General features: G+C 49.6%; 1 protein-coding gene across 2 annotated transcripts in view, besides 1 other annotated feature; it reads left to right on the top strand.

Moving 5' to 3' along the window:
• The window catches only part of SYT2 (synaptotagmin 2), a 119,859-nt gene continuing 104,435 nt past the window's right edge, over window positions 9,343–24,766 (top strand). For both annotated transcript variants that reach the window (NM_177402.5, XM_011509192.3), the window contains exon 1: window positions 9,343–9,539. The gene's annotated coding sequence lies outside the window, so the exon portion shown is untranslated. The remainder of the gene's footprint in view (window positions 9,540–24,766) is intronic.
• Window positions 17,131–17,630: an enhancer, noted in NCBI's record as "H3K4me1 hESC enhancer chr1:202671295-202671794 (GRCh37/hg19 assembly coordinates)". NCBI's record gives its function as "activates a minimal SCP1, AML or CMV promoter by ChIP-STARR-seq in primed H9 embryonic stem cells {active_cell/tissue: H9 hESC(primed)}" and the evidence as "EXISTENCE:reporter gene assay evidence [ECO:0000049][PMID:30033119]".

The following is a 24,766-nucleotide window of genomic DNA, read 5'->3' as shown; positions in this document are numbered from 1 at the left end:
CTAATAAGCAACAGAAGAGGGCAGCAGAGGACCAGGATTGAGCTGCTTCCCCTCCTAGTTCCACGGGAGGGAAAGCGGTGGTGGAAAGACTTGAATACCTAAGGCCACTCTCCATTCCGTTTCTGGTCTGTGACCTGCCCTGAAGTTAGACATCAGGATCTAATCTTCTGCAATGTTTTGCCCCTCACAAAATTCTTCAGTTCATTGTGTATATCTAACCTGCTTGCTGTTTGGAAGATTAGGTTGGAGATTTAATGTTTTTTTTTTTTTTTTTTAGTTTTTACTCTTTTTTTCTGTTTTTTTAAAAATAGAGATAAGGTCTCACTATGTTGCCCAGGCTGGTCTTTAACTCTTGGGCTCAAGCTATCCTCTTGCCTCAGCCTCCAAAAGTCCTGGGATTACAGGTGTGAGCCACCATGCCCAGTCTAATTTTTATCTTTTTAGTGATGGAGTCTTGCTATTGCCCAGGCTGGACTGGGCTGTAGACCTAAGACTGAAGATCAGGCTTTGGATTCTCATTCTACCTGAGGTGGAGCCAATCCCTAAGCCAGTGATGATCCCAGTTATGTGCCTAGCATACTAACCACCTACTAGGCTTTGTAGATTTGTATAGAACGGGGACACTGCACTATACCCAAGGAGCTTGAAATTTAATATAGAAGGAAACTATGTAAAATAATGTTTCAAGTTTCTTGTTCCAGTGTGCGTGCACATTGTGATGGAGCTAGAGAAGAAAGAGCAAGGCTTAGGAAAGGTGAAAATTTGATTTGAGTTGACACTTGAAATAAGGTTATTGCCAAACTGGCCATGTGGCTTTGCCGAAGATGGAGCCTTGGCATGTTTAAAATAAGACTGGTTTACAAGGTCCCCAGGGGTACTCTGTCCTTATCTGCCCCTCCCCTCATAAGTTTGGTTTGACTGCAGCTCCCTAAAGCACCACCTAAGGTAAGTCAGGGGCATTGGCTGCAAATTGTTCCAGTAATGGTTCTCTGACTAGGGACAGGCTTTGGCTCAGTGGTTCCCTTGAATACTGAGGCAACTCTTTGTGTGAATGGAGAAGAACTAGGGAAGAGGTCCCAGGAGTCTGTGCTCTGTACCTTCAGTGACTTCTGTGTAGCCAGAACAAGATGTACATCTAGGGCAAGCTGAGGAAGAAGGCATTTCACATTAGCACACTTCATGGTGAGAAATAATAAAAGCTAACACAGCACTTAGTACGTTCCAGGCTCTGGATCCCTTGCATATATTAACTCATTTAATCTTCACAACATCCCAATGAGATTGATACTATCATGCCCATTTTACAGATGAGGAAATTGGGCTTCAGCGAGGTTAAGACTGAAGGCCATTCAGCTGGTACATAGACAGCCAGGATGCACCCAGACAGTCTGGCTCCTGAGGCTGAGCCCTATAAACAAGATGGAAGGCCGCTGAGTACTCTTGAGCCGCCTCTCAGATGTGTGGTTCCACAAAGCAGTAAACCATTCCTAACGACTCCCCAACATAGCTGCTGATGGATGCCCTTAAAGGCTGTGGTTTTTCTCCCACCGGTAGTTGAGTGAGGCTTATATAAGCCTTCTTTTAGAGAACTGAGTGAACATTCTTTTTTTCCTAAACTGGTTTGGGTAATTCACTGAAGTCACAAATGCATTTCAGCTGCCTCTTTAAGGCTACGGTACCTGCTGCCCCAGAGGGCAGACACTCAGGTCTGTAGGCAGGGACCCTGCCCTCAGGGGCCTGCTGGGGTGTGGATGGCAGCTCTACCATGGTACTCAGCTCTCAACTCCTCCACCCACCATCAGCAAAGCCACCTCAGTTGGGACTGAGGCTAGGTATATTGCATTCCTGGCAACCAAAGCAAATCCATACAAGAAGACCTTAGTGATGGGGAACTGCATAAGCAAATGTGTGGAAACTCTTAAGGTGCCTGGCCTGACTAGGGAAAGGAAACCACGGCATTAGGCTGGTTGGACCCAAGGTAAGTTGCCCTTGGGATAGCAGAACGTTTTCGGGCAGAAGCTCCTAGACAGTGCTCCAAAACCCAGAAAAAAGACCCAACAATGCCGGGCACAGTGGCTCACGCCTGTAATCCCAGTACTTTGGGAGGATGAGGCAGGTGGATCACCTGAGGTCAGGAGTTCGAGACCAGCATGACCAACATGGTGAAACCCTGTCTTTACTGAAAATACAAAAATTAGCCAGGCATGGTGGTGGGCGCCTGTAATCCCAGCTACTTGGGAGGCTGAGGCAGGAGAATTGCTTGAACCCAGGAGGAGGAGGTTGCAGTGAGCCAAGATCGCACTACTGCACTCCAGCCTAGGCAATAGAGCAAGACTCCATCTCAAAAATAAATAATTAAAAAGACCAATAAACATGTTTTGCTTGTAGGTCTTAGCATGTGTGCACATGTGCGTGCACACACGAACACACACACAGCTATCTTGAGTCTAGAAATGAGACCATGTGCAATCAATGTTCTGTGGCCAGGGGTTAGGGTGGTAGGAACAGGATCTAACAAAGGGTGTTCAATCCTCCTTTTTGAACTTTTCTCCAGCCAGGCCCTAGACAGTATGAGGAGGTAGGCAGCTATCCCATGGCTTCTAGACTCACTGGGCTTCCTTGGGAAAGTCACTCAACCTCTCTGGAGCAAACAATGTAGAGAATCATCATTAGGCTTGCTGGTCTTCTGGAGCCAGAAATAATAACAGTTACTGTAATACTCAATACGCACTGAGCACTGACTGAGCATCAGGTACTGTCCTAGATATCAGATAACCTAAGCTGACTCTCACCATGCTGCTATGAAATGAAGTCACTAACTCATGGCCTCTGAGAGGTGAGCCGAGATTGGAACTCAGGAAGTCTGTCTCCAGAATCCAAAGTGGTGAGCACGGCAGTATGTAGTATGCAGCCTCCTTTCAGAAGTCAGCAAAGGAAGGGAACTTACAGGCCCTCTAACCCAACTCCAGCTGTGAGTGGTTTTTCTAAAAGCATAAAATGGATTATGCTTAGATTCCTTCAATGGTTTCCATTACCTTCTGAAGAAAATCCAAACAGTTGGTCTACAGAATCTGTCATGAGCTTGCCTTTGCCTCTGATCTTTCCCTCCTCCCCAAACCTACCCTATACTCTAGCTCCACTGAGCTATTTACATTTCCCTAAGCCACATAATAGAAGCTACCTATTTTGTTAAGGCCCTGCTTGCTGTTTAGAACCATTATACTATTTAATTTTCACAACAATCCCTCAAAGTAGGTGGTGAAGTCTTCATTTAACAAATAAGGAAACTGAGGCGTTAGAGTAGTCACATAGCTTTCTGACTCCAGTGCTTAAGCTCTTCAATGAGTGCACTGTATACTTTTATCCACTACTGCTGTCTTTGCCTGGGATGCCATTCTCTTCATTGCCTACCTAGAAAACCAGTCTTTCCTCTGGTGGTAGCTGAAAGGTTATTTCATCAGGGAAGCCTGCCGTTATTTCTTGACTTCCTACCAGGTTGAGTTAGTGGCTCTCTCTCTGGTTCCCACAGCATCTTATACTTTTCTTTTGGTACATGTTTCTCACTCCCTGCATCAAGGAGGCTGTGAAATCCTTGAAGTATTTAAGTGTTCCCCTCCACGTTGCCCGCTCCCTGCAGGGCTCCTGACAGATAATACCCTGGGTGGTGGTATTATCTGCACTCTAGGCAATTGCTTTTTTCCGGGTGTTTTTGTTTGTTTGTTTGTTTGTTTTCTTTTTCTTTTTTGAGACCGAGTTTTGCTCTTGTCACCCAGGATGTGGTGCAATCTCGGCTCACTGCAATATCCACCTCCCAGATTCAAGAGATTCTCCTTCCTCGGCCTCTCAAGTAGCTGGGATTACAGGCGCTTGCCACCACGCCCAGCTAATTTTTGTATTTTTAGTAGAGACAGGGTTTCACCGTGTTGGTCAGGCTGGTCTTTAACTCCTTACCTCAGCTGGTCCTCCTACCTCGGCCTCTCAAAGTGCTGGGATTACAGGCGTGAGCCACCGCACCCGGCCGTGGTAAATGTTATTGACTGGATAGGTGATGGGTACGTGGACAAATACGAAGCTTAAGAGACTTGTTCCAGATTTGCTCCTGAGCTACAGAGAAGAGTGGCAGATGGACTTGGGATACTGAAGAAAGGACCGTATCAGTCCTAGAGCTTCTTTCCCACATGTCTCTGCTGTGGCTTCTTGTGCTTTGGTGCTTGCCTTCCACAGCTAGGGCACATCCCAAGGGCAGTTCTGAGATACAACTCCAATTTATGGAGAGTTTTAATGGACACACGGATATTAAAGCACCAGGGTTAATTATTCAGAAAATGTTTCAACTGACTTGCTTTTCATCTCCCCCATGATGGGTAGCTTCAAAGCCTACAGTTGCCTTCTGGTAAGAAGAGACATCCTGCCCTTGTGTGATTAGTAGTCTGAGCCATTTGCTCTTCACATTCCGGAAGGTGAGCACCTCAGAAGAACCTTCTCTTCTATGAGAGGGGGAAAACTGAGGCTCAGCGAAACTTACCTGGGACATAAAACTGTGACTGGTACTTCATTGCAGAAGGAAGAAGGGTCTGCTCTGGTGTTGTAGGTTGATATTTCCTTTGAGAAGGAAAAACAATCATTGTTACTATATGAAAAGACAAGGTCCTCATGACATTCTTTAGTTCCTGGGATCTGATAAAATTCTGTGATTATTATTTGCATCCTAGTGACTTTCTTCCACATGCCAGATATGGTCTTGAAAACTTTAAAAAGCTTCCCCTCTAGGAGTATAATGTTATAGATCCAGTAGTCCTCTGTCTGCCCCATTCTGTTGTATTTAAACATTTTATCTGAGCTCAGAGTTATTTGTTTTTATTTTGTTCATTGCATAGAGAAGAAATAATTATAGTCCACTTAATCAGCTTTTTCGAAGAGTTGGCCTTCACTGCCGGTTGGAAGACTAGGGTTTTTCTTTTTTATTAAAACCTAAGATATCATGTAGATTATATGATATATGATAGTTATATTTATCTTTATTTTGCTTATGTTTGATTTCTTTCCCCACATCTGATCAGTTCATGTCTTCTGTATTGAAAGCATTCTGAGGTCAGGCTCAGTGGCTCACGCTTGTAATCCCAGCACTTTAGGAGGCCGAGACGGGAGGATCGCTTGAGTCTGGGAATTCAAAACCAGCCTGGGCAACATAGAGAGACCCTATCTCTACACAGAATTAAAAAATTAATGGGGCATGGTGGTGCACACCTGTAGTTCCAGTTACTAGGGAGGCTGAGGCAGGAAGATCACTTGAGCCTCAAGGCTGCAGTGAGCCCTGATTGTGCCACTGCACTTCAAACTGGGTGACAGAGCAAGACCCCCATCTCAAAATAAATAAATAAATAAATAAATAAATAAATAAATAAATAAAGTAAAATAAAGAAAAGAATTTAAAAAAAGTATATTATGGGATATCTAAAAGTTGACTGTAGAATGAAATATGTTATTATTATTTTTTTGAGATGGAGTTTCACTCTTGTTGTCCAGGCTGGAGTGCAGTGGCACAATCTCAGCTCTCTGCAGCCTCTGCCTCCCGGGCACAAGGATTCTCCTGCCTCAGCCTCCCGAGTAGTTGGGATTACAGGCGCCTGTCACCATGCCTGGCTAATTTTTGTATTTCTAGTAGAGACGAGGTTTCACCATATTGGCCAGGCTGATCTCGAACTCCTGACCTCAGGTGATCTGCTTGCTTCAGCCTCCCAAAGTGCTGGGATTACAGGCGTGAGCCACTACACCTGGCCAGACATATATTATTGAAGAGTAAGTAGTATAATGGTTATAAACACTGAGCAGGGCCTTAGCAAAATAGGTAGCTACTATCATGTGGCTTAGGGAAATGAAAATAGCTCAGTGGAGCTAGAGTATAGGTAGTATAGGGTAATTTAAATAAAAGTTAAAGTATATTTAAGCTTGGTATGTCTACAAAATTAGATTAAAAGAAGAAAACCAAGACCTTTAGTGATAGGAATTGCATGTAATTTTTTTTTTTTTTTTTTTTGAGACGGAGTTTCACTCTTGTTGCCCAGGCTGGAGTACAGTGGCATGATCTCGGCTCACTGCAACCTCCGCCTTCTGGTTTCAAGCGATTCTCCTGCCTCAGCCTCCTGAGTAGCTGGGATTACAGGCACCCACCACCACACCTGGCTAATTTTTGTATTTTTAGTAGAGGTGGGGTTTCACCATGTTGGCCAGGATGGTCTCAAACTCCTGGCCTCGCGATCTGCCCGCCTCAGCTTCCCAAAGGGCTAGACTTATAGGCGTGAGCCACTTTGCCCAGCTGTAAGTTTTAAAGAACCATTTACTCAGTTACAACCAGTAAAGCAGGCGTGTTTCAGAGGAGAGTTTAGTCATTGTTTGCTTAATTGTCAGGAACAATACAAACTGCTCTGGAAGAATAATACGGGTATGTGCAGGGGGTGGGAGGGCAAGAACAACAGCTTTCTGAAGGGGTGTTTGTTTCTGTGTGTATCAAGAGAAAGCAGGAAATGGGAGCTGGCTAGGTCAGCGGTGATGAAGACTCTCTCTCCTGTCCCAGCTCATTTCTGTTTGCTCTAACTATGACAGCAGGGCTTGGAACAAGTTTGCAGGGATGAAGGCCTGACCAGAACATCAGGGAAACAATCCAAGTGTGAGGTAGTGCAAGTGCTAGTAGACCTATGATCAAGGATGGACAAAAAGGGAATTCTTTAAGCAGAAGGTGGGTGGCAGGCAGGAAAAGTACAGGGGCTTTCAGTCCCCAGGGAAAGCTGTGACAGGGGCACGATGCAGCAGCTCCCTGCTCTCTTCTCTCTCCTCCCTAGAAAAAAACAGAAAATGAAGCCACCAGGAAGCACACTATTCAGCAGAAAGTGGTAAAACAATGTAATTGAGGGAGTTGTAGACTTTCTTCCTGAAAAACGCTCAGTGTTAGATAGCTCTCCCCCACCTTTTGTGGGTTCAAAATGACCTTGTGTGGAAGCAGAGGGATTGCCCTGATGGCCCTGCATGTGCATGCAATTGAGTGATGCTGGTCTAAGATACTAGAGGCTCATCTTTCTACAATGATGAACAGTTGAAAAGCAAAGTATCTAATAATAGGCTGGGTGTGGAGGGGGTGGATGTCTTTTCCATTCTTTCCTCTTCCAGCTCCTGAAGCCTGGGGGAATAAGCAAGAGGGATGTTGAGCTCTTGATTAGGTTTGTAACCCAGACACTACTGGTCCTGATGAATTAAAAGAACATTAAGGCTGTAGCCAGCGACACCACATTTTTCATTTAACCAAATTGATTACAGCTCTGACTCTCCTAATAGCCTGGGAAGGCAGGCTGGCTTCCTCTGACGTGCTTAGGAGAAGAAGCTGGGGCACCAGATTGACACAAGGCTTTGATCAGAACAGTAGGCAGCTGAGTCTGCTGCCGTGGAAAAGTTGAAGCGCATCAGGCCAGTTCGCTTGGCTTGATTCTGTGCGAGGGGGCTGCAGCCCTCTTTCTGGCTGGAGTCCTGCAGATACTGGTTGTTGGCATGGGGAGCAGGAAGGAATGAATAGAGTAGAGCCAGCCCCTTTGGGGAAGCAACAAGTCCTGGAACACACCTGGCTAAGGGTGGGGGTGGTGGGTAACCTCTTTGAATGTAAAGGTCTCATTAGTCCATTGTAACTTGGCTCCCCATTTCCTCCACTGCCCTTGTTCTGGCTGCTCCACAGGTGAAGGGGGAGGGCCTCTGTGCCTCAGGGGCTGTGAGCACAGCTTCAGCCTGATTGAGGACTCCCCAGAGGTCTTCCCCCACCTTTTTCGTAACATCCACTGAGTCGGCAGCCACTTGCCGCCTTGCTCTGAGGCAAGCCAAACTGGGGATAGTCTCCAACTGGGGATGGTCTGCCAGTAACACCTGGTATTATTGGCACAGTGATCTGAAAAGTGCCCTCCACTGCCTCTTCTCTCCCCAAAGCCTGAATCCCACTTGTTCTTTGCATCTCCTCATATTGCATTCATTCCACCTCTCACTCACTCACCTAGTACGTATTGAAGACTGACCTCAGGCCATGTACGGTTTTGTACCCAAAAGCGAGGCAGGATGCTACAGTCCTATTATAAAAGTTAACTCCAGGCCAAGCGCAGTGGCTCATGCTTGTAATCCCAGCACTTTGAGAGGCTGAAGTGGGTGGATCCCTTGAGGTCAGGAGTTCGAGACTAGCCTGGCCAACATGGCAAAACCCCATCTCTACTAAGAATACAAAAATTAGCCGGGTGTGGTGGCGCACGTCTGTAATCCCAGCTGCTCGGGAGGCTGAGGCGGGAGAATCCCTTCAACCCAGGAGGCAGAGGTGGCAGTGAGCCAAGATCGCGCCACTGCACACTGCACTGCAGGTTGGGTAACAGAGTGAGACTTGTCTAAAAAAAAAAGAAAAAAAAAAGTTAACTCCAAAAGAGTTAAAGCGGATATTCAAATTGTGCTGTAAGGAAGTTCTGGTGCTGCCCTGGCAGCTCCTGGGTAGGTTAGGAAGGGCTCTGTTTTGCCCTTGCCACCCTTCTCTTTCTCCCAGGCTCTTCCGAAATGCCACCACTTAACTGTCTGCAGCTCCTTGGTCCAACGCACCATTCAGGGACTGTTTCCCCACCTGCAAACTGCCCACGCAAAATGCCCACCTTAAAGGGATGTCTTACGTATTAAGCAAACTAACATGTGTGAACACCCTGTCTTTAATAACCAGTAGCGTCCTCCTTTTCTTTCTACCGTCTTCCAGCTCCTCTCTCCTTGTCACCCTGCAGTTCTTACTCTCCCCTCCGCTGTTCTATTTCCATAGGCCTCAGGCACCGCTGTCTTCTCTCAAGCATCCTCCTCTCTCTCACCCAACCTTTAGGCTCAGAAGCCCCCACCATCCAGGTGGCCAATATAGGTAGCGGTGACCTAAGCGGAGAGGGGAGGAGGGGAGGCTAGGGGCTCAGGGATCCCAAAATGGCCATGGGGATGGGGGCTCCTGAGCCCAATAATTTAGCCTTGAGCTGCAGTGGGTTCGGGAAGTTGGAGAGAAGGAGCTGGCTAGAAAGGAGACCAGCCTTCTGGGGTGGGGAGTATAGAGCTCCTTTCCAGTCCGCCTTCCTGCTGGGGAAGCAGCCTCCTTGACCTTGAGCAGGAGGCGGGGGCGCCGAGCGCCTGGGGGGCTGCGCAGAAAGAACCCGTCCCGGGGGGCAGGCCCGCCCTCCGCCTCCTCCGGGCCTCCTCCGCCTCGGTCCCCGCCCTCCCACGCCGCTTGGTCTCCTCCCCTCACTGCAGCGCTCGCCGCGCGCGCCCATCGATCAGGCCCCCTCCCTCTGCCGCCTCGGCGCAGACTGCTAAGCTCAGCAAGTCTTGCGGCAAAGGCACTTCGGAGCCGAGTTGGGGCAGCGGTGGAGCGGGGACTTCGCGCCCCCAGGGGAACGGGCGCCCCTGCGAAACCGTCGCCAGCCACGCGTCCTTGCCGTCCGACGCCCCCTCACATTGGAGACCCCGGATCTCTCCCGCCTCCTTCGGGTCGCTCTCCGGTAAGTCCATACCCCCGCCGGTGGGGGCACGGACCTCCCTCTCCAAAGTTTCTCCTTTCCTGCTACTGAGTCGAGGGGCCACGGGGTGGTCTGGGTCCCGAGAGGTGAGTAGGGTTGGGGAAGTTTGAGGCCAAGGGGGCCGGGAGTCTGCCCCGTCCTTTGGGGGAGTTTGGAAGCGTCCGGATGGAAGGTTCGTCTCGGGGAGTCGGACCCGAGGGGCGAGGAGCCGGCTCCTCTGAGGGACTGGGGCTGGGCTGGGGGCAGATTTCCTCCCGCGGGTTGCTGCAGAGAGGGGCGGGCCACGCGTCCCCTGCACCGGCCGGCTCTGCGCCCCCGTCCCTCTCTCCTTTCCCTGGGACGAACCCACTCGCGTCTAGCCCAGCCCCCGCCAGCCCTAGCGGTCTCCAAGGAAGGTTCTTTTGCCCCAGTCTCAAGCTTCGGGGACCCCTGGCACCGCCGTCGTGGGAAGTGGGGCGGGGGGTGGGGTCTGGGCGCTGGGAGCCGGAGACCCTGGGTCAGGGAGAGGTTGGGGAGACAGACTGCAGGGGCCATCTGGAAGCAACGGGCACGAGGAGCTGGGGCAGGGGCCCAAGAAGGGGCTGGAGGCGCCCCTCCCCTCTCTCCAAATCTCATGACTCAGCACGACCTAGGACGCCCCGTCCCTGCTTCAGCTCTGTCCCCAAGGGCTAGGCTCGCAGCCTGGCGGGTGCTGACAGCCCGACTCCCTTTTCTGGACTCTTCCATGTACCTTTCCCATTTGGGGTGCCCCCTTCCCCTGCCTATGCTCCTTCCCCCACCTCTGGGGCACAGGGCTTTTATTTTTCAACTAAAAAGTGGAGCTTTATCGTTTCACATCCCACTAAGCCAGGCCCCCTCATCCTGTCTCCTCCCTTTTCATCCCCACATTCCACAGGTGCCTCCAGGACACCCCCAGCCCATGGCTCGTGGGGTGTCTCCTGGCAGGGCAGTGTCCTCCCTTACCCCTGGCTGAGGTGGCAGAGTAGGTGCTCTCCCCGCAGCAGGAGAAGGGAGTGCAAGGACAGAAGAGGTGCTGGCCCAGGAGGGGCCACTGCAGTGGGGAGGGAAGGGCAGAGGCCCCGTGGGCAGGTAGTACAGGTTGAGTTAGCTTATAAGGAGGAGGAAGTCCTTAGGATCTGGGGGCGCCCAGGAAGCCAGAAAGGTGAACTGGGGTCTGACCTGGAAAGCAAAAGGGTGCCCTTCTCCCTCCCCTACTGCTGCCGCCCTGCGGGGCCTCTCCCAGGTGGAATAGATTGTCCTCCATCCAATCTGTCTGGATCCCCATAACCTGGCACTTCATTAGAGGGGGTGACAGAAGCAGGGAAGCCCTTAATCCTTTCAACCATCTCTCCCTACTTAAGACTAAGTCCAGCTTTGGGGCTGCTAGAAACATCTCTGTGACCAGCAGAGGTGCTGAAAAAAGCCATGCCCAGTGCCCCAAAGGCGGGCCCGAGTGGCAGGTGGAAGGGGGCAGGGTGGCTCTGATGCAGTGGGACGTGCCTGGCATCCTGGTCCTGTGGAATGAGAGTGGTGGTCTGGCAGGCACTGCAAGCTGCAGCGTGTGTCAGGGCCCTGGGGGTGAGTCAGCGTCAGGGGTCCACGCCAGGCACACTGCAGCCTAGGGAGTCCAACTCCAACCCATCTCCTCCCATGCCCCTGGAAAATGGCCAGTGCCCACTGAACCCCGACTGAACCACCTTTCCCTCAGGGTGGCTGCCTCTGCTCTGCTTGGCTGCCAGGCAGATCCCTGGCTTCACCCTCTAGGACTCCCCCCAGAGGCTTGGCTTTTTCTGGAGATCTTTTGGGCTTAATCCTTACCTTCTCCCCTCCTTGTCTTGCCAAAGGAGGAGGAGAGGGAGGCAGAGGAAAGTTTCTAGGTTATAGCCTCACATAGACCTGGCCCACCATTCCCTGGAGGAAGAGAGACCAGACCACTCTGCTGGGAGTCTGCTTTGTTCTGCAGTCCAGGAGCTTGGTCCAGGGAACTTGGGTTTTCTTTTGGGGGAAGGGGGTGATTATGCAGGAACATTTCTTTTTCAGCTTTGGGGTCTGACATCCGCAGAACAGGACCAGGGGAAGCAAAAAGTGTTGGTGTTCGTAAACATTGACTTTTCACCTAGAGAAGCTTGCAACTGGCTTCAATTTAGGACTGAAGCTGGTTTCACCTGGGCAAAGCATGTACCTTGCTGAAGACCTCGCAGGGCCGAGGAGACCCTTTCTGGAGCTGGGTCTGGGCTCACCTGCCCTCACATTGCAGCTGGAGCTCGTTTTATTCCTTCTACCCTTAGGCAGCTTCCAGGCAGGTGTGACAGGGCTGTCTATGATACTGCAGAGACCTGGGGGTGGGCTTTGGAGGTGGCTGGAGAAGCCTCTTCCTTGCCCTTCTCAAGCCCTGGGGACCAGGCTACCCCAGTGTTCCCCAGCCCCTAGGCAAGCCTGACCTCTAGTCATTCTTTCTGCCTCCATCTGAACATTATCATATCTCAATGGGGTCTCCTTTTTCTTCCCCGCCAGGCCTGTGCCGCCCTCTCAGGGGAGAGTAGATAGAGGGGCAGTGAGTGCACTGGAAGCAGGGGGACAGAAGGCAGTGAGGACAGAGTGGGAGGAGGTTGGGCTTCATTTGCCTGGAAGAATGACCATCATTCCCTTCCCTGGACAGAAGCATCCTCGTGGAGGACTTAAGGCTGCAGATGAGTAGAAACACTACTTCACTTGGCTTTGGGATTTGCTCTGTGGACTTCCCCAGTCTAGGCAGGTCCTAGCTGAAGCCAGAGTATCCCCACCACTGAAGGTCCAGGGTGGTGGGGATACTCTTTAAGAACTGGAACAGCAAGTCAGAGGGAGTAATGGGGGGGCAGGGTCACTCAGTGCAGTGGTTAAATATGAAGCACCAAAGAATGGAGGCTAGGAGATAGACAGGCCTGGGTTCAAATCCCAGGGCTGCTAAGTACAAAGTCTGACATTTGCAACAAGTATTTTATTAGTGAGTACCTACCATGTGCCACTATTGTAGTCTCTCTGGGTGGGGAGGTGAGCACAGCCGCAGGCCCTACACATGTTACTGAGCCACTCAGCATCCCTTCTGCATTCGTTCCACTATTGCATTTTGAGAATCTGTGCTAGGCAATGGAGATTCAGGTGGGAACAAAACAGACCTGTTTCCTGCCCTCGTGGCATTTACAATCTAGTGAATACCACACAATTAGATAATTACATAAAGAATTCATCATGACTGTGCCAAGAGTTATGAAGGTATGTAGGAAGCTTCGAGAGCATGTAACAGGATGATCTGACAATGTCTGCACAGTTTTCTCTAAAGAACAGAGGTAATAATGCTTAACTCTCAGGGTAGTATTGTAGAACTGATAACTATTCGTGTTATTTTAGAAGTAGCCCCTGGACCACCAGACAGATGCAGTTCTAAATTCCCTACGTGAATAATCCATCCATAGGCAACAAGTTGATTCTTCATCTTCCACTCAGTCAGAGAAGCCAGGCCAGAGAAGCTGGGATTCAGTTATGGCTTCTCCTGGACTCCAGAAGCCTGTGATAAATAATATAGTTTCATTGGAGAAACATCAAGTCAGAGATTTTTTTCTAAGTGGCAGTATAGTGACTACAGCCAGATTGCCAGGGTTCATCCTGGTTCTGCCACTTGCTGTGATTTTGGGCGAGTCAATCACACTCTGTTTTTTAGTCTTGCCATCTGTAGAATGGAGCTAAAATTTGTAACTATGACGTAGATTGTTCTTGGTGAGGATGAAATGGGTTAATTCCTGTAAAGCGTGTAGAACAGTGCCTGGCGCGGGAGGAGTAAGTGCTTTTCATCCTTGGGTGGCCTGCGTGCTCCTTTTCCTGCCCACACACACAACACTGTCTTGGGTTCTCCAGCTGCAGGGAGCACTGTCCACCTTTGATATTCTTAAAACTCAAGGGAAGGAGTTGCCCTCACCGTCTTGGTGGTCAGTCCTGCATTTCATCCCCCTCACTCGAAGACGGTTTTTATGCCTAATGAGTCTTTTCTTGCCAAAGCTTGATTTCTGGGAAGGATTTGTCCCAGCAATCCTTCATTTTCATCTCTGGAACTGACAGTTCAAGGAAGTAGCCAGAGTGATGGGTAAATTTGGATCCAGGCCCAGAGGGACCTGAGAGTCACTGTGAGCCTGGAGGGCAGGGGAACACCTAGCTGCCAGCCCCCTCCCCTAGAGAGGCTGGGTCTAAAATTAAACATCCAGAAGGACTCCCCAGGCCAGGTGCAGTGGCTCACACCTGTAATCCCAGCGCTTTGGGAGGCTGAGGTAGAAGGATCGCTTGAGCCCAGGAATTCCAGAGCAGGCTGGGCAACATATGGAGACCCTGTCTCTACAAAAAATTTAAAAATTAGCTGGGCATGGTGGCACACCAGGTTAAGCAGGAGGATCGCCTGAGCCCAGGAGGTCGAGACTGCAGTGAGCTATGGTCATGCCACTTCACTTCAGCCTGGAAAACAGTGAGATCCGGTCTCAAAAAAAAAAAAAGGACTCCCAAAATCCAAGATGAGCAGTAGATATTGTAGAAGCTTCCTCCCTGGATCATTTTCTGATGAGGATAAAGTCCCTGCTGGCTGAGTGCCAGGGAGGAGGTTAGATTCTGAAAGCCCCTCACACTTAGGGAAGTAGGATGTGAGTAGCAGGGTCCATTAAAATGGCCAAGCAGCCTCCAAATCTGAAAGAAAGGGGGGTTACCTGCTGCTGTAAAGTCAGGAGAGGCCCTTCCTTGGTCACTTTAGCCGGGGACCTCAGGATTTCAGCTTTTGCTGTCAGTAACACTAAGCATCAGGCATAAGAAAGGGCAAAGTCAGTGTGGGTCCCGCACAACAGGGAACCTCAGGGCTCCTCCCTGCGCCTCCTGCTCCCCTGCTCGGGGATAGAGCGGCTCACAAGGGCGGTCAAGCTCTCATCACTGCAGTCCTCGGCTACGCCATCGCTGTCCCCACTTTACAATGAACGGGCAAAGGCCCAGAGAAGTTGTGTGGTTCAAAATCCCCAGAGAAGTTGTGTGGTTGTTCAAAATCCCCAGATCATAGGCACTTTGCAGGGGGCCTTCCAGGCCACAGCAGCTGAGTGGTCAGAACCCTTCCTCCTCTCCTCGCCGCTTCTCACCAGCTCTACCTATGGCAAATGGAGCCCGAGAATACAGGTGCGGGTCCTTGGGATGAGGCCACTAACGCGTTGAGTAGAAGCAGGAGGCTGGGTGATTTAAATCAGGCAGCAGCCTTTACAAAAATTAGGCAGTGATTCCTTGGAGGAATTGAATCAGCTCTCCCTCCCTGATGTTGGGTTTCCTTGGGCTCTCCATAAGGGCTCTGGCACCTCCTTCAGGAACACCTGCTCTGAAGCAAGGAGGGAGGCCCCAGGGTGGGCAGTCTTGAGTGCATGATGGGACACCCCGCTGAATCCAGAGCTGCTCCAGCCTCAGCAGCCCTATCTGTGATGGCATGCTGATGTCATCAGCACCAAAAGCCCTTGCAGGTTTCAACTCGGCAATTAAACGGCTCCTCTGAAGCCCAGCAGCCGTGTGTGTGTGCATATGTGTGTATTCAGGGTCCTAGGGGTGGGCTGGGGAGGAGGGCCCCTTGCAAAGGCAGGGAGAATGGGAGTTAGTGGGTGTGTGACTGCTTCTCTCCTTCGGAGACTCCAGACCTGAGAAGTCAGATCCCTATGGGACTCACAGCCCAAAAGTCAACCCTTGCGTGCAGGTGTAGCCAGAGTCTAAACTCAGCCTGAGCCAGAGCACCCCATTCCTTCCTTACTTCCTACTTTCCTCCCGCCTTTTCCTCCACGTTCCACTCCAATGCACTAAGCACCTACTCTGTAAAAGGCACCTGGGATGTAAAGGAGAACTCAAAATAACCGTGTCTCCTCTATCAGCCTGGGCGCTCCCCAAGGCCAGGGCATGTTGTTTCTCCTCCTCTCCTGGGTCCCCCTAGCCCCCAAAGTGGAGTTCTGAAGCTGGGAGCATTGATGGTGGCTGGTGCAGAGTGACAGGGCTCCCAGATGCTCTCCAACCCCAGGATAGTCGCCTGTCAACACAAGGCTTTCCTCAATCACAAAGCTTGCTTCACTTCCTCCCATCCCCTGCAGAGAAACTAGAAGCCCAAGGGCCTCATCACTGGACAGTCTGGGACCAGGGGAGGACAGCAGCTGGGTGGGGAGTCAGGAAAGCTCCCCCGAGGCATTTGTCAGGTGCCTCTCAGTAAGGCAGGGAGTCCTCAGACCATGGAGAACTCTGGCAGGACTTGCCATAATTGGGTTGATACAGTGGCTCTGGAATTTAGTAATTAGGAAATATTGCAATTAGAGACGGAATTTACCCATTACTATTCCATGCATCTTAATACAGGGTGTAAGTGGTTGTAACTGTGAGCTTGGCACTAGGCATATGGGAAAATAGAAGTGAATGGAGAAATGGGATGAAGGAAGGAGGGGATGGGAGGAGCTTAACCCTTTCCATACCCGAGTAGACTGAAGGAGCAGCCTGGGGGTGATGCAGGGTTAGGGCGAGCCCAGCAGCCCACCGCATTTGTAAGAGGTGACCGAGGCAAAAATCACAGGCTCCCTCCGGACCTTCTGCTTCTTTAGCTCAGGTAGGATCAGATGCAGGGCTTGGCAGGGGTTAGGAGAGTGGTGATGGAGGCCAAGAGGGAGAGGCTGCAGGGGAGAAGGGCTCTTCTCCCAGTTTCCTGCTCAGCTGTGGAGAAACAGAAAAGAGTTGTAACCACCTGCAGTAGTGTGCATGTGAGAGACAGGAGAGGGTACCTTGTACCTTCATCTCTCCCTCCCCACTTGTTCCTTCCCCCGCCCTTCTTTTTACTCCCTTCCTCACTCCTACTCTTAGCTCCATTTTCCTCTGAAGTCAAATGAGGCATTTGTGGTATTGCAGGGCTGAGCTGGGTAGGGCCATGTGTATGGGCGGCGGAGGGAGGGGAGCGGTGGCCGGGGGTGGGAGGGTGGTAGCGTCAAAGAGGTGGTGCTCATTTTTTCCTTTCCAGACCAGAAATGCCTTCCCCAAGGTCAGCCAGTGCTCTGAGCTCCAAAGACCTTCCCAGAGAACCTCTGCTCCCTAAGGGCTGGGTGGTTTGAGAGAAATCTCTTTTCCTCACCATTGATTCCAGTCTGAACTAATGATCCAGATGTGTTGTGCATGTCCTTCCTCTTCTACAAAGTGACTCGGGAAGCAGTTTTTATGCTATTTGTAGAAAGGAAGCATTTTCTGGAGCGGGGCCTTCTCTGCTTCTGCTACACCTTAACTCCCTAGATTAGAGGAGAGCTGTGAGGCCGCAAGGAGGGGGGCCTGGAGAGGGGCTTGGGCTGAGGGTGGTAGAGGTCTCTGAGGACTGTCCTTGTCTTCTGCCTCCTGTGTTTATTTGGAGAAAAGCCCATTTAACAAATGTACAGGTCTTTACCTCTATCCCTCTTGGGGCTGTCTGCCATGTATCTTTCATTGTACCAACTCAGATGGACCAAGTGACGGCCCGGTCATAGGGCCTAAGATGGGATGTTAGGAGACGGGGTGGAGGCCTGCAAGCAGGAGGAGAGGGGACCACCCAGGCAACCCTCTAGAAGTGCAGGAAGGATGAACAAGAACCTATTGGTTAAGTGCTCTTGGGTCTTGGAGGGAAGCAGACCTAGGACTGAAATCCATCCTCACCACTAGGAGCTAAGAAGAGTTACAGGTAAACCCCAGGAAACTCAAGGGTGGCTGTGGCTAGGATCAGTGTTAGCGGGAAGCATGGAGTTAATTGGCTGTGGGAGGGCTCCCTCTCCCAGTTTGACTCTCCCACGAGTAGGAAAAGGCATCACTTTAATAAGGCTGCCCTGTTTCCAAATCAATCCTGGCATTGCAGGAGGCGAAGGGGGAAGCACAGCTGAGAAATTGGATTAGCTCTTTGATGCTGGGAACTGTGCTGGTTGCTGCTGCTGCAGCTGCAGGAGGCAGGGAAGCATCAAGAACTGAGCCTGCCATTGGCAAGCCAGCCCCAGACGTCTGAGGCTTCCCAGGGAGGCGTGCTCCACCCCCATTAGGTCTCCTACTGGTAGAGGGTGGCAGGGGTGCCCTGGGGCAGACAGTAATAGAAGCCCAGGTCCTCACCACTGCAAACCTGGAGGTGTCTTCGTGCCTCCCCTGGAGTAGATCGTGAGCCCCAAAGACCTCAGGAGGTGAGGCAATGGGGAAGGGGCAGAGGAGAGGCCCCCACAGCATGTTCTGTAGGGCATAACTGAAGCAGCGTGTGTGTGGCTGGGAGTCAGATGGCCTAGGTCAAACCAAGACTGCCACTTCCTGCCTGTGTGACCCTGGGCAAGTTACTTAAACTTTCTGAACTTCGGGGTCCTCATCTGAAAATGGAGACAGTAACACACAGGGAACAGGCCCTTGTGAAGTTTACCTTATAGCAGTAATCAAGATGGGGGCCACGGGTCCCTGGGAGTCCCTAAGAATTTTCAGGGGGGTCCATAAGGTCAAAGCAGTTTCCATGATGGCAATAAAGTTATTTGCCATTCCCATGCTTGACATTGATGGTGCTAAAGCAGTGGTGGGTGAAGCTGCTGGCACCTTACCATGAATCAAGGTAATAGTATCACACTGCACCCGTCTTTGTGTTCTTCCACACTACACACCCGCTAAGCAAAGTAATTGGTAAATAATGAAATGCCATTTTCAGTTAAGAATGTCTTCTTTTCATGAAGCAGCAAAGATTATAATTATATTGAAGCTTGATTCTGGAGTGCACATCTTTTTAATATTCTCTGTGATGGAATGAGAAGTACACATAAAGCACTTCTGCTTCTTACAGAAATATTACACAATAATTTCTCAAGCAACTGAACAGTGCCCATCACCTGTGCATCTGTTTGAGTTGCAGGCTGAACTAGCCATTTTTCCATGGGATACCATTTTATCTGAAAGAACAACCAACAAACTCCAGTTATTCAGACTTGGGTGTTGAGCAGGCATTTTTGCAAAAATGAACGAAGTGAGCTCGTCACTTCCAGAAAAACAACTGGCAGTATTTGTGGCCAATGATAAAATTTAAGCTTTCAAGCAAAAATTAGAATTTTGGAAAACTCACACATATTACTATGAAAAGGACTTTTGTGATAAGATCAGTGGGAATAGTAATAGATGTGATTTGTTAATATTGTTTAATGAAATTCATCAATATTTGAAAGATCTTCACAATTCGGCAAGCCAATATCTTCGAAATGATAAATGAATGATGTCACAAAATCATGCACAGAGGCAAACAAGCATTCCAAGTGCAAGGTTTCAGATTCCCCACTGCAGCCAGTCTTTAAGAAGCTACCACTTGGGGAGCAGTGATGTCATATCAAAGAAAAATATCCACAATGATCTGAAAAGGCTTTATTAAATACCCCTCCCCTTTCCAGTTACATATCTGAGTGAGGTTGGATTTTCTTTCATCTTTCAATCAAAGTAATGTATTGCAGACAGACCGAACACCGAAGTTGATATAAAACTCTAGCTACCTTCTAGTAAACCACACATTAAAGAGATTTGCAATGATGTGAAACAAGGCCTCCTTCTTACTAGATATTTTACTAGAGAAAACGTCTACTATATATTTTTTTGGTCTTGGAAAATATAGTTACTTATTAAATATGTTGTATTAACAGGTAATGAGTTACTATTGTATTTTGAGCTAATTTAGAAATTTCTCAGTTTTAATTTTGAATATGGTAACTATGGATGGATCTAACTTACATAAGAAAACGCTCTTGGAGGGTCCTCAATAAACGGGTCTTAGAACCAAAAGGTTTGAGAACTGCTGTCCTAGGTGAAGCCCAGCCCAGAGCCGGGCACACAGTGAATGCTTAGTAAGGACCTCATGCTCCCCTAGAGTGCGGGGCTTCGTGTCACAGGGCAGAACCTGGGGGCATTCTCTGTATCTCAGAAGTCCAGAGTCAGCCTGGCAGCCTTGCTGGGCAGGCTGCATGGAACAGAAAAGTCCAGAGCTGCACGGGGTGGAGGGAGCCCAGGGAGCACCTAGCCCCTGGCTTCCAGGTGGCCTCTGGGGATGAGGCTCCCTCCAGGGCTGCCTGGAGAGGGGAGCTTTTCTTGGAGTTGGGAGAGAGGGGTGTCTAGGGAGAGTCCCCCTTGACTGTCCCAACCCCTACCTTCACCAGAGCAACCCTGCGTTTATCTGCCTTGCCTATTGAGGTTCTTATACTGGAATTCTCTTAAGCTTCTGTTTAAAGGAAGGGGTTTGAGGCTTCCCAAAGATTTCAAAACTTTGTAGTCCAGCTCTTTATTTTAAAGACAAGGCCCAGAGAGGGAATGTGACTTCTCAAAGAATACATGGCAAGCAATCAACTCAACGGTGATCAAGGGAAAACCGACATACGAGACCATGCTGGATGGAGCCTCTCAGCCGGTAGAGCCCAGTGCCTGTGCAGCAGGACCTCAGCAAATGTTCATACACTGGATAAAAAAGCTCCCTGTATATTCTGTCATTTTTTCTTTATAACAAGCCTGAGCTTTATTGAAGTATAATTTATAGATCATAATATTCACCTGGTTTAAGTGTACAGTTCAGTGATTTTTAGTAAATTTACAACATTATACAGCTATCACTACAATCCAGTTTTAGAGTACATGATCTATTACCCCTATTTACAGAGAAAAATAGTCCCAGAAAGGTAAATAAATGTCCTCAAGGTGACACTGCTATTGGGTGGCAGAATAACATCCAGATTCAAGTTTGTCTGTCCCAGTGCCACACCCTGCTCATGCTGCACACTGCAGAGAAGGGAGTCAGGTGGTCCACTGTTTGGGGACCATGGACAAATGCCCTGCCGCAGGCTGGTGTTTGTGGGACTCTCTCTAGAGCTGGTTGTGCCAGTCCAATTTGGGCACTGGAGGCTGGGTGCAGTGGCTCGCACCTGTAATCCCAGCACTCTGAGAGGCCAATGCAGGAGGATCACTTGAGCCCAGGAGTTCAAGACCAGTCTGGGCAACATAGCGAGACCCCATCTCTACAAATAATAAAAAAAATTAGCTGGACGTGGTGGCATGCTTGTATTCCCAGCTACATGGGAGGCTGAGGTAAGAGGATCTCTTGAGCCCAGGAAGTTGAGGCTGCAGTGAGCCAAGATCATACCACTGCACTGCATTCCAGCCTGGGCAACAGAGCAAGACCCTGTGTCTCAAAAAAAAAAAAAAAAAAAAAAAGACAGTTTGGTTACTGGTTCTATCCACACAGCTCTGGATGCAGAGGAAACCTAGATCCCAGCCCCCTCAGAACTGAAATCCTCCACAAATGGGGGACCTGAAGTGCTTCCCTTGGCCTGTCTTTTGTAGGGGACCTAAAGCTCCTCATTGAGCAGGCCCTCTAAGAGTTGTCTGCTGGAAAGTACAATCTCTAGGAAGTAAAATCAGTCCTTAACCCTGGTGACCCCTAAGAGTGAGGAAGTTCTTTCTTGTGTCTAGCCACATTCTTCTTGCTGTACTGAGTGCCTATTTCCTATTCCTATCCACCCTTCCTGTTCTGCCTGGTGAGTCTGGGGGTCGGTGTACATAGTTCAGAGGCCACAGAGAAAAGCTGAGAGCTGGATGGAGAGTCTGGACTGTCTGCCTAGACAACTGCCTGCTGTAGTTACCATTTAGCACTCCAACCTCCAAGGATGACTGCTCTTTTCACAGGAAGGCCAGGCAGTCTTCATGTCCCTTCTGTGGCTTTTGTGGCTCTGGCACTGAGAGAATGTGGTCAGTTCTTCCTGGGAGGATGAGTGAAGCGGAGGGCGGGGAGGCTCTGCAGGATGGTGGAGGAACCGCCTTCAGACGAGGTCAGATGTCTACCCAGGCATACCTGGCATAATGGGGAGCACACGTCTCTCTGCTCTTCAGCGGGCACAGGGCTGGGTAATTGATTGCCCTGGCACGTGGCTCCTTCTCCAGCTTGGCCAACCTTGACTGTACTGCTGTCCAGGTACCTCTCTGTAGGGGCTGCTTCTAGCACCCATTTTAGACCAGGCATGGGGAAAGACCTAGACATGGTAAAAGATGAAAGGGAGAGTATTCCCTGTGGTGAGAGGGGTCACTTGAGCAGAGTGAACTTTCCTTGGGGGGGTGGTGAGACCCTGGACGCTGCCCTGTGGAGGTCATCCAGCTAACGCAGGAACCGGATCCCTGATCCTTCACCCTCCCCGCATCCCCTGCTGTGTTTTCTTTCCCTCTGGCTCCTCCTGTCCGTACCAAGGAGCTGTGTTGCAGACAGACCCTGGGCCTGGCAGCTATCAGCAAGGAAGAAATCAATAGTGAGTGTGGAAGTGCTTGGAGGCAGACTGGAGCAGTCTTCCTAGGGTAGGGTTTTCTTTTTATAAATTTAACATTTTATTTTTTCCAGCTCTATTGAGGTGTAATTGACAAATAAAAATGGTATACATTCAAGATGCACAATGTAATGATCTGACATACATATACCTTATATGGTGATTATTACAATCAAATTAATCAGCACACTCATCAGCACACATAGTTGCTGTGTGTGTCTGTGTGTGTCAGTGGTGAGGACACCTAAAGCAGATCGAGACCCCTGGGACCCTGAGTCCTGGGATACAAGGCTCTGGCTGTTTTCTTCTCCCAAATAAACTGGACAGATTCCTCAAACAGCCCCTTCTGGGTCTTGGCCATTGCCCTACTTTCAGAGAGCATTTCCTTCTTGCGTGAGGTTCGCAGCAAGTCAGGACATTCGGCTCAGAGTAGGGAAGACTCACAACTTTACACAAGTTCGTGTACCGATGCAAACAGGCCACACACATGGCTCTTGGCAGGTTGCCCATGGGCAGAGGTGCCTCCCTCTCACATTCCTTGGAAAGTGGGGATGAAATTGAACCTGAGGCCTTATCTCCAGCTGGAAGGAGACTGCTCAGGTGACGCTGGCCCCCTCTCCTGGTCCACACGCCACTTACCGGCTGGGCTCAGGACTGCTCCATGTGAGATCCTGGGCTGGGTTCTGGCTTGGTGCCTTGTAGTTATGTGGTTTTCTTGCAGACTTTGGACCTGTGGCTTCCCCAACCATTGCTGCCTTTCCAGACCCTGTGGCAGCTGCCATCTGCCGTTAGGAGCTAATGCTCTCAGTGAAGCTTGCTCAGCTGCGGCCGTTAGTGGAACACTTACTGGAGGCAGCATTGATAGGGGCTGTTGTCCTCAGAAATGGGGGCTTGGTAGGAAGGTGAATGAGACCATGTGTCTGGGACCAAAGCTTGGGACTTAGGTCACTGTCCTAATGACAGAGGTGGTGGGGGAGAGGTGATGGGGAGGAAAGGTATGGATGAAGGCAGATAGACTCATTAAATCCTTGCACCAATGCGAAGAGCTCACCTGATCCCCCTGCTTCAAATACATTCCATAGTGCTAAGATGCCTTTTTTTGTCCAAAGTTCTGTAGAGAAGGAAAATTCATGATATTACGTCTACTCACTCCTCAGTGTTGGGGCCAGGACTAGAAGCTGGGACCCCTGGCCTTGCAGCTTTTCATCTGTGTGACACTGGTCAGGCTCCCATGTGCCTCAGGCCACACTTCCCTAGGCTCCCACTCAGTCATTCATTCATTTATCCAAGGAACACATTCGTGGAGCAAGCTCTCTGTGCAACTGTGATGAAGACGGAACAGACAGTTCCTGCCCTCATGCCTCTTACAGGCAGAGGGAAGCAAGACATTAAAATAATCATGCGATTGTTTATTTAATTACAATTATTTAATTACAATTATGATCATTGGAATGAAGTAAAAAGTGCTTAATACTTTGAGTGTTTATAATGGGGGCTTAGCAGGGTGGGGAACATGATGCGTGCATGGCCACCATGATGTCTGGGCTCTGTAGGCAGCCACCATAGGCATCCTGGGTCTTTTCATGGGGTGTCAGATCCACTCTCTGGCACTGCCAGGGGTGTGTGCACCTGGTACATATGTTACACCACCCCTGGAAGGGTCAATAGGAAGAGTTCTGAGCTGGGAGGCACGATTTGGGTTGTAAAGGGGACTGGAATTTCTGGCTCTGCCTCTAGTTCCCCAGGTGACCGTGAACTTGTCACTTTCTCTCTTTTCTGTGTTCCATCCTTTGTAAAATGAGGAGATTTGACTAGAAAAATCCCTGAAGTCCCTTCCCAGAGTCTCAGAAAAACATTAGACGTTTCCAAAGGCAAACTATAGTTTTTCCACTGGAGACTGAGAAAGGAATTTAGAAACAGGGCTGAAAAGTCCACTAACTCCAGAGAGCAGGAGGGAGGAGAAGAACAAGCCCAGAGTCGGGACCGTGGTATCACAAATGGAGGAGTGCACATGGCAGATGCACTTGCTTATAGCACTGAGACAACTGGCAGGTGATTAAAGAGGTGTAAGGGAGAGTGTCATATAAATGTTTCAGAAAGGCAGAGAAAGAGCCTTTCAGTGGGAGATGTTTTGCATGGAGGCAGGGGCGATAGATGACCTTACAAGGTCTCTTCCTCAGACAAGTCCATGAATCTCTTCTCCTCACGTTGCCACTGATGTCAGTGCTGTCTGGATGTCTGTGAGAGGAAGATGCCAGGTCCCCTTGGAAATGAATTTTTGACCATAAACTATCCCCAATTCACATCTCTCAATGACACTTGTGGCTAACTGTGCAGTTGTCACACTCAATCAAATCGAGTTCAATTACACCTTTGCTCTCTTGTCCTGCCATAATATAAATATGGCTCTGAGAAGTGTATTAGTTGCTGACACTGCGGGAGCCGGGGAGGCTGGGTTTGGAGGGTAAGGGAGGCCAGGGAGTTTCATGTTTCAGACCTAGAAACAAGGGCTGGAGATGGGTTCCTTGAAGTTGTGGGATTGGGCTGCCATGAAGCCTTTTCTTCAGGAGGCCCTGAGGCAGTTATATCTCTAGATCAAGGTGATGGGTCAGATGCCCTCCCAAGGGTTCTTTGTGTCCTTAGACTTTTTGTTGTTACCAGGGGTCACAGGTCTCCCTGTGTGTGTGAGCAGGGGTGTATTGCATTAATGCTTGTGTCTGTCTGCAGATTACAAAAGGTCCAATGACAACTTGCTTTCCACTTCTACTGAGGAAGGTGCTCTACACCTTCAAAAAATGGTTCATAAGGTCACAAAGGCATGGGATTAACCTATAACATGAAGGATTTTAGGTAGATATGAGGAGGAATTTTCAAACACTA

Source organism: Homo sapiens, chromosome 1 (assembly GCF_000001405.40).
Source record: "Homo sapiens chromosome 1, GRCh38.p14 Primary Assembly".
NCBI classification, from domain to species: domain Eukaryota; kingdom Metazoa; phylum Chordata; class Mammalia; order Primates; family Hominidae; genus Homo; species Homo sapiens.
The sequence above is the reverse complement of the archived record's forward strand: the minus strand, read 5'-3'. Positions and strand labels throughout refer to the sequence as shown.